Source organism: Homo sapiens, chromosome 7, assembly GCF_000001405.40.
Source record: "Homo sapiens chromosome 7, GRCh38.p14 Primary Assembly".
NCBI classification, from domain to species: Eukaryota; Metazoa; Chordata; class Mammalia; order Primates; family Hominidae; genus Homo; species Homo sapiens.
The window spans coordinates 77,397,259-77,414,673 of NC_000007.14; the positions used below are offsets into that span (position 1 = coordinate 77,397,259).

Here is a 17,415-nt window from a genome sequence, read left to right on the forward strand (position 1 = left end):
AATTTAATACTGCAAAAATCTAATACTTTGAAACTCTTGAAAGATGTAGTTCAGTTCTTGACATGTAGCAATAAGAGCTCAACTTACCAAGCAAAGTCCTTTCACTGTTGACAGAGCAACTGAAAACTTGCAAGTCTTTCTCAAAGGTATATAGAAGCTATTAAAACAAAAATATTTTTTAATTTGAAGTTTCATACATTAAATAACAATTGTATGAACATAAATTCCCATTAAGCTCTGTGCTAAGTATTACTGGGGCAAAATATTTTGGTAAAGAATCAAACTAGTTTAGCTATGCTGACACATTCCAGAGTACTCTTTACCAAAAAAAAGTTTGCTATTGTAAGCCATGTTGGCACCGATATTTAGCCATGAGACAACCAAGTATAGTGGTTAACAGCATAGACATTGGAGCCCAGCTAGATCCAGGTTCAAACCCTGACTCTATCACTTGCTAGCTGCGTGACCTTGGATAAATTATTCAGCTTCTCTATCCCCCCATTGGTAAAATAGGAATCATAACATCTACTCATGGGATTGTTAGGAGGATCAAGTGAGATAATCTACATGAAGCACTTAGTGCAATAAGCACTCAAATGTTAGCTATTGTAATTACTGAGGTAATTAATTACCTCAGTAATCATTAGTTTTCTTAGCCACTGTCACAAGTGCATCTCCCATAGGCCTTTCATATTTAGAGGACTGGGAAGGTAGACTTCTTTAATTTTTTTTCCTTGTTGTTGTTTAAAATGTTCAAAATATTCCAAGATTCCATTTTCTTGAATATTAAAGAAAATGAAAATGCCCATGCAGGAGGATGTGATGTAGAGATTGAGGAACTAGAGAACACCAGTTCTATTAGGCAGGCTCTCTTAAAGAACACCCAGAGGATAAGGGAAAGAGACAGTCTTCGACCTCAGAAGAGAACCGACTAAGAGAAACAGTAAATAGTGTAAGTATTAAGAAGGTTACTAGTATCTGCACACTAAAAAAGTATCGAAAACACACCAGACCCCTATAGCTAGAAGTTGATGGGAAAAGCTGGGAAAGTTAGGGAACAATTGATTACAGAAAGTGAACTTTCAGTTAATCAGATACTGAATTCATGTGAGAATTGTCGGTTTCCTTTGACTCTTGCTCTAACTGAGGGATTCTAAATTATTACTAAGAAGAATCTAATTCTAAATTATTACTAAGAAGAATGGGTATATACACTTAATTTTTAGTTTGTTATCTTTTAATTACAAAGATAACGTAAGTATAATCTCAATGTTTAAAAGATTCAAACACTATCAAATAAAAAGTCAAAGCCAGCCTGGACACCACGACAAAATCCTATCTCTACAAAAGTTTTTAAAAAAATATGCCAGGCATGGTGGCATGCCTGTAGTCCTAGCTACTTGGGAGGCTGAGATAGGAGGATTACTTGAGCCCAGGAGGTCAAGACTGCTGTGAGCCGTGATTGTGCCACTGCACTCCAGCCCAAGTGACAGAGTGATACCCTGTCTCAAACAAAAAAAAAGGTCAAAAGAAATGACAGTCTTTTATACTCAGCCAATCCCAACTCTCTTCCAAAAGGAAGCATGTTTATAAATTTTCTATATTTATGCACTTATATTACACAGTTACATTGCAAGTTTTTTAAAAACATAAATGGAATGTATTATTCTGACAACTTGCTTTTTTCATGTAACAACATGTTTTGGAGAGACTTCTGTACCAGTAACATTTACAGACTTCTTAATCCTTTAATAGCTGTATCAATTTCCAAAAACTTACTGATGGGCATTTAGTTTGCCTCCTACATTTAGGTAATATAATAATCCAATGAACCTTTTACATAAACCTGTGTGAATTTGTGCAGATATTTCTGTAGAATCAAAACCTCAAAGTGGAATTTCTAGGTCAATAGGTGTGCAAGTATCAGAAGTCTTTAACTCCAAGCATCAAAAAATCTTCCCCAAACTAGCTTAGGCAAAAAGACAATTAGTGGCTCATGAAATTGAACAGAATGGGGTGTTACTTCAGTATTGGCTTGATCCAGAGCTGGAAATATACATTCTCCTAGCTTTCTGGGTTCAATACATTTGTCAGCTTCCACACAATAGAGCTCCAAGTTCTATTCCCCAAAGCCACAGCAATTCCAACCCAGTGAATTCACTTATCACCAAACCCAGTGGAAAAGAGAAGAGTCCATGTCCCAAATTACCAGCAAAGTATTCTCTTGTATCCAACCAGTTTAGGTCATGTTCACTCTTGTATGCACTACCAGGGAAGTCCTACATGACAGAAGGTGGGAGAAAGAGGTAGAAGAGGGTGAGGAAGGAAAGCTATTGGGACCGTGCTTATGCTTATCCCATTACTTATGCTAATGGGAAGCATAAGTAATACACTGCTTCCCATTTGCATATTGCAGGGTGAGACCATTAACTCAAAACTTGAGGTGGGGGGGGGCGGGGCAAAGTGAAGTCAACCCACTTGTCCCTATTGCTCCCACCAAGTACAGTTTTAAAACCCTGGACATATATTTTTTAAGTTTCAATGACGACTCTGAAATGCAGAGAGAAGGCAGCAGACTCTTTAGGGACCTCAGATCCTGATGAATGACATACTGGTGAGTTCCCTGGGTTTTCCTTTTGTGTCATATAGCCTAGACTCAGAGCTAAAGAGGTGAAAACAGCAGAAATACTGATGGGAGCGGACAAAAACAAACACACACCCATGCTCTCTAGCCAAAGGAACTGGAAAGAGGAAACATAGCAAGAGAGAAACTTTCTTACTATAACCACCCTAAGTCCAGCCAAACACCACAAAAGAAAATGCAACCCCACTCCCATCTCTACCAGCAAAGGCTGCATGGGGAACTTAGACTCCCACCTTTGCCCAGCTGTTAACAAGGCAGCCTTCCCCCTTCTGCGAGAAGAGTATCAAAGAAGACCAAGTAGGAAATCAGGACTTTCAACCATTCCCAGTGGTAAACAAGCTTTCCCCCACCAAGAGTGAAAGCAAATCCACGTGGATCCTGGACTCCCACCCAGACCCAGTAGTAAAGAGTTCCCTTTCCACCTCCTCACTGGGATGGTGTCCAAGGTGGCTGAATGGGAAACCAAAACTTTCACTACCATCTAATGATAATGAGGCCTTCACCTACCTTTCCCCCATCCTGCTCCTCTGCTGTGGTATCAGTGGAGGCCAAGTGGGGAGACTGAAATCCCACCTCTGTCTAGCCATAACAAGACACTTCTCTCCACTGGGGTGTCCAAGTAGGCCAAGTGGGGAACCTGGACCTTCCCCTGGCACAACCTAGCAGTAGTAGGTTGTACCACCAACCCCGCTAATTCCCCAACAGGTAAATTATCACAGGAGGTATGCTAAAGAGAAGACTTAAAAAACATCCAGAGTTTCATAATGCAGTACTCGAAATGTCTAACATACAATAGAAAACCTCATGTCATACCAAAAACCAGGAAGATCTCAAACTGAATGAGGAAACAATAGGCACAAACACTGAGATAACAAAGATATTGGAATTTTCTGACAAAGATTTTAAAACGGTCATAAAAATGCTTCAATAAGTAATTACAAGCATGCTTGAAGCAAACGAAAAAAAGTCTCAGCAAGAAATATATAAAGAAAAATACAAATGGAAATTTCACAACTGAAAAATACAATTACCAATTTTTTTTTTTTTTTTTTAACAAAACCTCCATGGGTAGGCTCAACAACATAGTGGAGAGGACAGAACAATCAGTGAACTTGAAAACAATAGAAGTTACCTAATTTAAACAACAGAAAATCAAAAAATAAAAGAAACAGAACCTCAGAGATCCGGGTGACTGTAACAAAAGATCTACCATTCTTGTAATCAGAGTCCATAAAAAGAAAAGAGAAACAGATTGGAACTTTAAGAAAAAATACTTCAAGAAATATTGGCTAATGACTAAAAATGTCCCAAATTTGGCAAGAGACTACAGATTCAATAAGCGGAGTAAACCCCAAACAGGCAAAATCCAAACAAATCCACACCAAGACACAGCACAATCAAACTTCAGAAAACTAAGGAGAAAGAAAAAAATTTTTTCAAAAACAGCAAAGAAAAAAGTGACATCTATATGGGGGGGAGAAAAATTCAAAAGACAGCAGATTTCTCATGAGAAACCAGAGAACCCAGAAGGAAGTGGCATGTTTTTCAAGAGAGGAACAAAAAGAACTATGAATCCTGAATTCTACACTTGGCAAAATTATCCTTCAGGAATGAAAGGAAAAAAACACATTCTCAGATGAAGAAAACTATGAAAATTTGTCATCGGCATAGCTACCCTAAAAAAAATGGTTAAAAAAAGTTCTTGAAAGAGAAAGGACATGATAAAAGAGGAACCTTAGAACATCAGAAAGAACCATGGAAAGAGCAAATATATAGGTAAACACAATAGACTTTCCTTCTCCTGTGTTTTCTAAATTATGTTTGACAATCAGGGCGAAAAGTATAACATTGCCTGATGAGGATCCTAAAGAATGTATAGGAAATATCGAAGACAATCAAAAACACAGAAAGGTAAAGAGACTCAAAAGGAGATAATAGTTCCACACTTCATTCGAACTGGTAAAATTTCAACACCAATAGATCTTGTAGAAATGGAATAACTCTTTCTCGATTGCAGTGGTAATTACAAGAATCTACACAAGTAATGAAATGGCATAGAACCATATGCACACATTCTACCGACATTAATTTATTGGTTTTAATATATTATCCTATAGTTACACAAGATTTAACAATTGAGAGAAACTGAGTGAAGAGTACACAGGACATTACTCTACTAGTTTTATCAAATTTAAAAAATAAAAACTTTTAGAGAAGGATGGGTAAGCATTAAGACTCAGACACTGTTATCCCATCCTGAAGCTCAATTACCAAGAGAAAGATTTTTTTTTTCTCTTGATGGCACCATCTTTCCTCATGGTGGCACCTTTCCAAGGAAAAATACAGTACTTGAAAAGAATCTTAGGCCGGGCACGGTGGCTCACACCTGTAATCTCAGCACTTTGGGGCTGAGGCAGGCAGATCACGAGGTCAAGAGATTGAGACCATCCTGGCCAACATGGGAAACCCCATCTCTACTAAAAAAAAAAAAAGAAAAAAGAAAAAAAAAATATATATATATACACACACACAGAAAAAAAAGATTAGCTGGGCGTGGTGGCACACACCTGTAGTTCCAGCTACTTGGGACGCTGAGGCAGGAGATTTGCTTGAACCCAGGAGGCGGAGGTTGCAGTGAGCTGAGATGGCGCCACTGCACTCCAGCCTGGCAATAGAGTGAGACTCTGTCTCAAAAAAAAAAAAAAAAAAAAAAAGAATTTTAAAGCCCATCTAGATTTGGTATACAAATCCATTCCTTCAATAAAACCATCAAAAGGTCCGTAAAAAAAAAAAAAAACATATGGGCTGTAAGGGTTGTGCCTACGTGGAGAAGAGATGGGAGAAGGGGAGGGTTTGTTTAGCGACTACGGTTCAGAAGAAAAATTTGCCTGTTTACAAAGCTAGTTTAAATTTCCTATTAATTTATCCTTTGGCCAATTTATTTTCTGGACTAACTTTCACATTTTGGAATTCAAAGCACCTTTGTCACTGGAAAATTTTTGAAAAACAGCCACTCTGGAGGGAACCTATCACTATCAATCCAGTGAAAAACATTCACTGTACTCCTACCACTCACAGGCAGTAAGCTAAAGGTAACGGGGATAAAACACATTGGTATGCAAAGTGCTCCTACTGTCAAGTGCTCACAGTCTTGGGAGAGAGGAATATGACCACAAAAGATAGCAGCAGTCACCACAACTGGATTGACAGAAGACAGACTATGATGTCTCCTCTCAATCCACCTTTTTAGAATACATGCCACACAGAAATTAAGCTAACAATTGCACTGAAAACTTGAGATTTTATTCTCTTTCCCTAGACTGTGTATTGTGAGTTTATGTTGATCATCACTGTGTCTCCAGCACCTGACAGGGAAAACACTCAATGCTTATTTGTTGGATCAGTGAATGGGTGAATGAATTAATGAATAAAGGTGAAAGGGGTGGAAGAAGGGAAGAGAGAATTAACCAAGCAGCGTATTGGAACCCTGAAGAGTAAGGTGACCTGTAAAAAATTTGTAATGGATAAAGGACATTTAAGTTCAAAGATGTCTAATATTCAATTCTAAATTGTTTTTACATAGGTACAAAATTACTCCCTCCCATTTGCTCCCAGAATTAGACAAAGCCTGTCACATCAACCAACGCCTTATGTGAGTAATTTGGGGAAAAAAATAAGGAAAGGGGTTCCTTGTCTGGATCACTAAGAAATAATGAGAAACAAGACATGTGAAGGTTAAGCAGAAGCAGAAAGAGTCAGAGGTCATTATAGGATGACCTGGGAGTACACAAATCTCAAGAAGGACATTGGACCTCCTACTTTCTTAGAGGATATTGAATAATTTGTTTGAGCCAATTTTACTTAAATCTCAAAGGTCTAAGAGACCTCACCTCACTTTGTGGTCCAATAGTCCTTGCATTTTTTGTTTAGGATAACAGGACCAAGAGATCGTTAAGGGAGAAGAGAAGGAAAGCAAAGAAATATAATTTTTTAGAAAATAAAGTTGGTATTCCCACTCCTAGATACACACACAAAAGAATTAAAAAATACCTATGTATACAATAGTGTTCATAATAGGCAAATATTAGAAACAGGTGTCCATCAACAAATAAATGAATAAAACTGTTGCATGTACTGTGATAACTGATTACAAGAACTGGAGTTATTCTGTCATACTCAATCGAGTTAAATCAAGAGATCAGGAGAGGAAAAAAGCAGCACACAGGGCACAAGGGCCTGCCCAGGTATTGTGCAAGCCAGCTGCCAAAATGACCAAATGCCATAAACTTAAGAACAGCTTCACCTAGTAGCTGCTGAAACAAACTGCCATGGCTCTAAAACTAGTTTTACCTACTGCTTTCCCACACCGATGAGATCTGCCAGCTCCTGGAAACTTTCCTATTGCCAATGAGTTTTCTTTCAAAGCCATGTGTAACATTTCTCTTTCTGATAAAACCCCCAACCTTTCTTAGTTCTTTGGACATACCAAAGACTACCCTGGTCTGTGTGTATGCCTCAAATTGCAATTCTGTTTTTTCAAATAAAATGTTTACAGAAAAAGAGAAAATAAAGTTGGAATTTATATCTAGAAAAAGGAGGAGACAAAGAAAACTCTAAAGGCAGTAAAGTAACCAATGAGTAATCTATGATTTTTACCTCATTTTGTCTGGTTTGACAATCATATAATCCAAAGACGACATTTCCCTTATCATCCTAAAAAAAATTAACCAGATGTTTATTAAATGTCATTGTTTAGGAAGTTAGAATGTTACTAGTTTTAAAACCAACCTGCAATAACTCAATCTTAGCAGTAAGCACTCTAAAAGAAGCTTTCTGTGCCTGTCAGAGGGGGACTGAATCCAGTTCAGCTAGTCATTTGGGCTCAAAGAATGAAATGGATCAACAGTGTAGAGCTCAGTGAGTTTGGGGAACTGTCTAGTAGGACTGAGCATGGTGGGCGTAAATCTTTTTATACTTCCACTTATGTCTTTGAAAACACACACATATGATAGATAATAGGGATGACTAGGACAAGTCCGTAACATTCTTATAAGTAAAACATTGTGAATCACACAATTCCTTAAAGGTACCATTCTAAGACACAACTTAAAATAATTATTTTTACTTTAAAAAGTACAGTGATATAACTGTGCAAAGCAAACTGGCCATTTGAATTATTCATGTGTGCTTATTATAGTAAAGTTAAATTTTCCTTAGAACACTTGACATTGAAAACACATTGTTAAATAACATGCTTCACATGCCTATAGTCCTAGCTACTGGGGAGGTTGAGGCAGGAGCTCAAGGAACCTACTTGAGCCCATGAGTTTGAGGCTGCAGTCAGCTATGATTGTGCCACCACACCCCAGCCTGGGTGACAGGGCAAGACTCTGTTTCTAAAAACAAAATAATAATAATGCTTCGAAAGTCCTAACATATCTACGTCTGAAGAGAGTAATCATATTTAATATTTTCTCCAATGATAAAATGTTAACATATTAATTAGGTTTAAACATTTTTACTTGGCATTTTTTGTCTAGAAAATGAAATTGTTCATTGATTCAAAATTTGAGTATTATGTCAGATATGCCTGTTTAGTTTTATTTTAAAATGAAGAAACATTTAATATTTAAAAAAATTTTTTTTTCTTTTTGAGACAGGGTTTCGCTCTGTCACCCAGACTGGAGTGCAGTGGCACCATCTCAGCTCACTGCAACCTCCTCCTCCTGGGTTCAAGCGATTCTCCTGCCTCAGCCTCCTGAGTAGCTGGAACTACAGGTGTGCGCCACAACACCCAGCTCATTTTTGTATTTTTTGGTACAAACGGGGTTTTGCCATGTTGGCAAGGCTGGTCTCGATCTCATGACCTCAAGTGATCTGCCCGTTGCAGCCTTCCAAAGTGCTAGAATTACAATTGTGAGCCACCATGCCCAGCCTAATACTACTAAATTTCAATCACTTTATTCAGTCTCACACACACAAAGTCATATGTTAAGATTAAATGCCAACAAGTTTATTCATTACCCTTCAATAAGATACAGTATAGAATTCTGTAAAAAGAGAATATAAATGATTAAAAACAGTAAATTTTACATCTTACCACAATAAAAAAGAATATAGACATACCTTATAGGTATAAATAATATTTCCATTTCTTTCAACATTTAATACATGTAAGCTCTCATAATCGTTTTCTAAAACATCTGAAATGATAATAGGAGGTTAATACTCAGCAGAAGATGGTTAAAAACATATCTAACCAATATATTAGTGAAGGAAGCCAAATATAAATATATACTAATAATTCTATTATATAAAACTTAAAAACAGGCAAAACGAATCTCTTTTATTAGAAGTACAAACAGTAGTAACCTTTAAGGAAGGAGAAAGCCATAGTCATTGAGAGGTATCTCAAGTGAGCCTTGTTACGTGTTGGTAATGTTAAATGTTTTGGGTATACTGATATACTCTGCAATAACTCACTGAACTGTATACACTCTTTTCTGTGTGAATGTTATACAATAAATTTCAAGTATCTATTAGTTTTTGCTTTATGCATTTTGAGGATATATCATTAAGGGCATACGAATTTGGAATTGTTATAGCCTCCTGTAGATTAACCACTGTTAGGCTCTAAGCTGAGCTGCCAGGTGTCTGAGTACTCAATTAAAACAAGATTAAAAAGTTAATATTAACTTTTTAACAGTCAAGCTTTTAATCACTTACTGTGATGCTATAAAGCAAGAGGCTAAACAAGAGAAAGTGCTAATGTCCCTGGTCTATTTTCTCCCCATGGAATGGTGCCATTAGCCAAGGGTCAGGTGAATCAGCACAGATATGGAGCTCTCTTCACTATCGAGGGACCCTCCCAAAAAGGTTCCTGCAGGATCACGGATACAGGAGCCGAGGGTAGGGAGAGGGAGAAGAGCTAGGAGTGGAAAAGTATTTCACTGGAGTAGAGAAAAAACAGTCTTCGAAGCTCCCCTCTCCCCGCTGCTAAGGCGGTTTTGGTGGTTTAGAGGCACCTGAGAAAGGTCTCTGCTAAAGGCCTCTGATAAAGAGGCCTCTAAATGAAGAACCCGGGCTAGGGATGCAGCTATCTGTAAGAGTATGGCTGGCCAGCGGGGCCTGAATCACAGGCACAACTCATTTCAGGGACTACAGGGCATTGACCACACACCAAGTCGGATTTGGGGAGGGCAGCTTTCTCCCATAAGGCCTGTCAGATAAAGTCTTTGTAACTGCACATAGTTGGGTCTGAAAAATTACACATAAGTTTTTAATATAGGAGCTGGATTAGCAACCCTTTATTCATTATACAATGTCCTTTATTTCTAATAATTATTTTTACTTTAAGGTCTACTTTGTCTGATATTAGTATAACTACATCAGCTTGGTTAGTGCTTGCATAACTTTCTGTTATTAATCTTCCTGTGTCCTTATATTGAAGATATGTTTTATAAGCAGTATCCACTTGAGATTTTTTCCTCCAATCTGACATTCTTAATCTTTTAATTGGGATATGTAGTCCATTTTTACATTCAATGTAATTACTAACATATTGGGTTGATATTTATCATATTACTATTTGTTTTCTACGTGTCTCACCTGTTTTACTACTCTTCTAAGTTTATTATTTCATTCTATTACCTATTGTCAGTTATATGTTTTTGCTATTCTTTTATTAGTTATACTAAAAGTTGTAACAGGCATCCTTGACTTATTATGTTTTAGTATTATGTGATGCAAAAAAAATCTGAAGCAACTGAAACTCTCATACATTGTTAATGGGAGTATAAATTGGAAAACTGGCAATATCTAGTGAAGCTGAACACATGACTCAGCAACTGCACTTGTACATATATCTTCAAAAGAAATATATACATATATTTAGCAAGGGACACATAAGAATGTCTATAGTACTGTGGTACATTATTGCCCAAACCAGAAACCCAAACTATCCATTAAGTGAAGAATGAATAAATTGTGTTATATCCAAACAGTGGAATAGTACAAAACAATGAATTAATATTCTGCAATAACACATGTGAAACTGAGCAAAAGAACCTTCCCCACCACCAAAAGAAGGTACAAATTGTATGTTTCAATTCATACACAAGTTTTCAATAATGGGCACAACTAATGTACAGTGTTAGATAAGTGACTGTTAGAAAGGAGCATGAAGGACTTCTGAGGTTCCATTAATGTTTTCCTTCCTGTTCTGAGTCTTAGTTGCATAAGTGTGTTTCACTTGGTGAAAATTAACTAAGCTGTGAACTTATAACTTGTGTCCTTGTCTATATGAAAGCCCTATTTTGCTGAAGGATATACAGACTCTTTACACAAAACATTTAACCTATAAGTTAACTGACCATCTTTCTTCTAAAATTTTAGGATATTTCTCCTAATTCTACAGTTAAAGGATTTAAACACTGGTAGATTCACCATTGTAATTATCACTAATTGGGCAGAAGTGTGTACTTTCCCAATTTCCTCAAAAGTTATCCAAAATTATGGCCGGCACAGTGGCTCACGCCTGTAATCCCAGCACTTTGGAAGGCTGAGGTAGATGGATCACTTGAGGCCAGGAATTCAAGAGCAGCCTGGTCAACATGGTGAAACCCAATCTCTACTAAAAAATACAGAAAATTAGCTGGGCACGGTGGTGCACACCTGTAATCCCAGCTACTCAGGAGGCTGAGACAGGAGAATCACTTGAACCCAGGAGGTGGAGGTTGCAATGAGCCGGGATTGAGCCATTGCACTTCAGACCAAGACTCTGCCTCCAAAAAAAAAAAAAAAAAAAAAAAAGAAAAGATAAATTGCTTAAATTTGACTCATTTTTCCCATACAGGAATAGTTTTTACATGTTAATTACATTGATTATGACAAATTCTAATATTCAGACAAAACATATGCAAACTATCTGTAACTCAGCAAATTTCTGTCTGTATTCCTAAAAGGAAAAGACAAGATAAAAAATAAGGATAATTGGTGAGCTGGACACCTGCACTGGAGCTGGAGGTGGGAAACATTTAGAGAGAGGAAGACCAGGTTTCACTGAGAACTTAGACATCATCCTGAGATCTCTCTTCCCCACCCCTCACAAGCAGCAGCTTAGTGGGTCTCCTAGGGGCAGGGCAAAGGGATAGGGCAAAGTGTTTTCTATACATGGGTATAAACGTTTGTCAGTATATTGACATGTATATGGAGCTGTCAGACTCACTTCACACTGAAGGATAATAAGGATAATAATTTGGTCTCTTAGGAGACTAGGATTTAAATAATCAGTTCATGGGCCAAGCATGATGACTCACGCCTGTAATCTCAGCACTCTGGGAGGCCAAGGTGGGAGGATGGCTTGAGCTCAGGAGTTCAAGACCAACCTGGGCAACACAGCAAAACCCTGTCTCTTAATAATAATAATAAGCTTATGGCTAAGTAGGCCTTCACAATTTAGAGAGTTCTCATTTCTATCTCATCTGCATTGTATAAGGTATTCCAGGCCTACTATACTTTTCAATGAGATAATGATACTTGACCAATATACAGTGAAAAGGTGGCGTAGACTGAACTCAAACCTAGAAAAAGGTAAACAGAACAATGGACTGAGTGTTCTGTATCAAGCTTACAATGAGAAAATGGGTAATTACTCAAAAGTCCTTTGAAAGGCAGATATTGTAGACATCTAAAGAGAATTTCAGTGAGTTTGTTCATCCTGTACACGACTCAAAACTTCTGGAATGCAATGTGTCAATATTTTGAGAAGTATTTTTTTTCTTTCAAGATTATAAGTATGCGAGGAGAGATCGTCGCAAAAGTACAGTTAAAAGGTTTCGGCTAAGATAAGAACTCCTTCACAAGAAATCTTGCTAAATCCAATTTACTTGCAAAAGCGTATCTATTTTCAGATTACTATAATACTAAGAGAAAAAATTCTCCAACAAACGCAGATTACAATAAATGACACATTTTTATCCCATTAAACTAGTGGTTCTCAACTCTGGCTGTCTTAAAATCATTAAGGGAGCTTTTAAAAGAACACTGATGCCCCAAGCCATACCCAGGATATTCTGATTTTATTGAGCTGGTGTGGAGCCCACTCTCTGGTGTACATGTATGTGTTTTAGATTCCCTGGGTGATTCTAATGTACAGCCAGGGTTAAGAACCATTGAACTACAAATGTACATTACATATTAAGCAATATTTGTTAGAGGGCATAACTTGGACCATCTTATAATATAACCATGGTAGACAGAGAGTTGAAAGAAATAAAAATAATGTTTTCATGGGAACATTAGGTAATAACTGCAGGGCTGAATACCCTGCAGTTAAGTACACAGTTCACATTTCAAGGACATGTGAAATAGACAAATTTGGTAATGTTGCAAATCCAGAGACCAATGTCTCACCACATACTATTAAGCCATCGGCTCTTCCTCCCTGGACGAGTTGCCCATGTCTTAACACACCCTTTTAAAAGAAGTATTCAGTAACCTCTTTGCTTATTCATTCTGACTCTTCTCCCAGTAGTTCATCACTGGAAAGTCCAGAGGAAGAAGTTTTGCAATTTCAAATGAGGAAATGTGGCTTAATTTCACAGTTTAGTATATTCAGTTCTCATGAATAAAACAATGTAGCATTTTGATAGATACTTGCATAGGTAAACCTATAAAAGAAACGAGAGTACCTAGATATTAAAGATATTGGCAAGGCATAGCTCTTGTAAAACAAAAGCTGGTTGGCCAGATATTCTCATTCGTTTCAATCTATTCTTTGTCAAACAAAAGTGATTTCACTTTACAGGAATAGGGGTTCTCAAATGTGTACATTTTATCCCAAACTGCTATGAGACAAAAATTAAAGTATTTGTCTTTCCAATGACCATATTTAAGGAGAAAAACGTCATTCAGCCTTATACAAAATTTTGAACTAGTTCCTAATACATACATCAAGAGGTGACAAAATATGATTATACCTATAACATTCCTATTCTGTAAATAATTCATATAAATCCTCAGGCTCAAGATGACCAGTTATTATAATTCCTAAACCTATGCAGTAAACATTATGTGATTTATATTTCATATTCTGAGTAAAATGAAGTTAAGAGAGAGATGAGAATTAGAAGAGGAGACTAGGAAAGAATTAGCGGAAAAAAAAGTAAAAAGGACAGATAGTGGCAAGAAAATAGTAAAAAAAAAAAAAAAAAAAAAGTGAAAACAATGTGATTAAGGTAACCCTCTGGCCCCCAAATCAATCTAGGAATACATAGGAGGCAACCAAAAAAAGTATTATTCTTGAATCAGTCACTTGGTAAAATATACCACTTCCCTGGCAAAGATTACAATATTTGAAAGACAAGTCAATCTGGTGTATCATAAATCCAAGACTAATAAAAGCAGGCAAGAAAATCTACATCCTTTCCAGTCTTAAATATTGACATTTAAATGTTAGAAAACTTACATATTGCAGATCTTATTTTCTTGAAGATGTGATCAATCCCAACAAGGGATTAAGCACGGGATACAAAAGTCAACATATAAGATCTATCTATTATAGTGCTATATACCAGCAATAGTTACAACATGTCATGTTTTTAAGTGTGCTAGTTATGAGAGCAACAAAAAAATAACCTAGGATGAAATCTAGCAAAACATGTGCAGAACCTTCATGGAGAAAATTCTAAGACTTATTAAGAGTCATTTAAAAAGATCTAAATAAATAATGAGCTGTATTTTGTTCATAGTTGGAAAGATCCAATATTGTAAAGATGCCAATTCTCCCCAAGCTGATCTATAGAGGCAATACAACTAAAGGAAATCCAAATCAACTTTTTTTGTAAAATCTGACAAGCAGATTCAAAAATATATATATGAAAAAGCAAAGGGCATACAATAGTTAAGACACTCGTGAAGAATACTAAGGTGAGGGGACTTACCCTACCAGTTATCAATACCTACCATAAAGCATAGTTATTAAGATGTTGTCATGGCCGGGCATGGTGGCTCACAACTGTAATCCCAGCACTTTGGGAGGCCGAGGTAGGCCGATCACCTGAGGTCAAGAGTTCAATACCAGCCTGACCAATATGGTGAAACTCTGTCTCTACTAAAAATATAAAAATTAGCTGGGCGTGGCAGCATATGCCCGTAATCCCAGCTACTTGGGAGGCTGAGGCAGGAGAATCGCTTGAACCCGGGAGGTGGAGGTTGCAGTGAGCTGAGATTGTGCCACTGCACTCCAGCTGGGTGACAGAGCTTGACTCTCAAAAGAAAGTTGTCAAGTTGAGATAATGAAACAAAATGAACTCAGAAAAGGAGACCTACATAAGGAAGCTTGATGTGACAGAAGTGGTTTTGTTGTGAGAACTAAAAGGACTGTTTGATTGATAATATTGAAACAATTAGCTATTAATTTTTTTAAAAAAAATTGGACTCCTATAAATCACATAAAAATAAATTCTAGGTGGATTAAAATCAAAAGGTGAAAAAGTCATAAAGCTTCCAAAAGTTAATACTAAAAATGTCTTCACGACTTCAAAACAGGGAGGATTTAAGAGATCCAAAAAGGAACAAACTATAAAGAAAAACTCCTAATTTAGACTACATTAAAATTAAGAACTCCTGTTTATCAAAGGCACCATCACAAACCGAAACAGAAGTGACAGATTGAGAGAAAAATATTTGCAACACGTGATAAAGAACTATAATCCCAAAAACATAACCCCTAAAATAATCAATTAAAAAAAATAGGAAAGTGGACAAAAGGATGAATAGACATTTCACAGGCAGGGAGATTCAAGTGGCCAGTAAATACATAGAGATGCTCAACCTCGGAGCACAATGAAATAATTAATCCTACCAGTTTGACAAAAAAAAAAAAAAAAAAATTAAATTTTGAGCTGTCACGGGCTTGTGAGGATAGTGAGTATCAGAAACATTTCCACACCACAAATCAGAGTGTTAATAAGTACAACACTCTGGAAAACAATTTGGCACTGCCCAGGAAAGACGAAGATGTGCACAGCCTATGACTTAGCAACTCTACTTTTAGACGTACATTCTAGAGAAACATATGCCTGTGTGCACCAGGTGGTTAGTAAGAGTACTGACCATACAGCAAACCCCAGAAACCCCCCAAAAGCCACCCACTGGAAAAATAAGTTGGGTTCCCCAGGATGCACTCTGAGACAGAGTTTAGTACCCAGTATGTTCATCAGGGAGTGCTCAGGAAAGTGGGATTAACACCCTTAAGAGGAAGGAGAAGGAAGCAAGTCCTGGTAGGTGAGAAGTCCAGTAGCAACGCAGGCCCAATATCCTCAGGTGACCTTGGGTCCCTCAAAGAGGAAGCTTCGGAACTGAAATGGAGTTGTCCCATGTTCAGTCAAAATGGCCAGGCCTTTAAAGCCCACTCAGTTTCACGTGGTCCATACCCAAAAGGAAGTGAAGTTGGGTAGGGCAGCCCTCTTGGCAGGCAATCCCTGAAGGGGCTGACAGCTGAAGACTGCCTGCTGACTATACTCACAGCACCTGGGACAAGCTGTTCTTTGAAAGGAAAATCTAAGGGGTGCATCTCCATGTCCACCATCGTGTTGAATTCACACTATGGAACACTATATAGCATTAATTAATACAAATTAATAACCTGCAGCTAGCCAGTCAATATGGGTAAATCTCACAATATTGAGAAGGAAAATAAGCAAAAGGAATGCATACAGTATGTTTAAAGTTCACAGGCAAGCAAAATGAAATATTTTGCCCATACATATAGGCTAAAACTACAAATAAAGTCAAAGTAATGTTAAAATATAAAAATGTAAATGGTTGCCAACCTAGGAGGTGAGGATGAGAGAAAGAAATAGAATCAGAAAGGAGCACATAAGAGACTTCAAGAGTCTTGACATTGCTCTGTTTTTAAGCTGGGTAGTGGATACACGGTTTTACTTCGGTGGTTTTTTTCTTTCTTTTATCATTTACAGCTACCTGTTAAAATATTCTTTTATGTAGTTGTTTTGATTTTTAACAAATATCTTCTTTTATTTCAGGAGAAACTGTTTTCTCAAAAGTTCAACCCAGAACCAGGAGCAAATGCAGTAACCAAATCTGTTCTCCTTCCTCCTTGACCCCTTATTGACCAAAATGCTTACAGGCACAGAATTTCCATGGCTGACTCAGCCCAGCTCTCTGTTTTGCCAGGAATATATCATACATATCTCATGAGAATTACTTAGCACCTCTAAGAAAACTTCAATTGTATTTGTTGATGTAAAAACATTAAGGCTTCAAATTCAGAAAGCAAGTATGCATAGAGGAGGCATTACAATGGTATAGTAATTCATAATTTACATTTGAAAAGCCAGAACTTTGAAAGGATAATGATTTCCACAAATGTGTGTTGTAACTGCTGTGCTAGAAATGAGACAGAATCCCAGATTTCCCTGCCACTGCTATAAATTACAGAACAGGAATTAATTTGTGTGGGGGTATTTTTGAGCTACCACCCACTGGTGATTATCAGAGGTGATAATTCTCTTAGTATAACAGGGCTAATATCTTACCAAGATATTTGCTCTGAAAGAGCAAAATACTACCAGTATCAGAAAAGCTAGTATTTCCAGAAAGTACCTTCTGAGGACCTAGAGCTATCTGTTGTTTAGTGGAAGGTCAATACACAAGTTTATATTTCTTCAGAGATGAGCGAAAGATACAAGGAAGCCAGGTCCCAGTGGGTCACACACAGCTTTTCAAGCACGACACACATTACGGAA

General features: G+C 37.2%; 1 protein-coding gene across 28 annotated transcripts in view; it reads right to left on the reverse strand.

Annotated features, from left to right (window-relative positions):
* Positions 1 to 17,415, reverse strand: part of GSAP (gamma-secretase activating protein) — a 105,880-nt gene that overhangs the window by 86,508 nt on the left and 1,957 nt on the right. For 23 of the 28 annotated variants that reach the window (NR_146938.2, NR_146937.2, XR_007060056.1 and 20 more), the window contains exons 2-4: positions 8,771 to 8,847; positions 7,301 to 7,357; positions 88 to 157 (exon numbers count right to left, since the gene is read on the reverse strand). Coding sequence is in view for 15 of the 28 variants with exons in the window: in XM_047420487.1 (XP_047276443.1) it covers positions 88 to 157; positions 7,301 to 7,357; positions 8,771 to 8,847 (204 nt within the window). In the remaining 13 variants the exon portion in view is untranslated. Of the gene's footprint in view, positions 1 to 87; positions 158 to 2,209; positions 2,280 to 7,300; positions 7,358 to 8,770; positions 8,848 to 17,415 lie in introns of those variants that run through there. The other 5 variants (NM_001350901.2, NM_001350900.2, XM_017012346.2 and 2 more) reach the window with 3 other exon arrangements.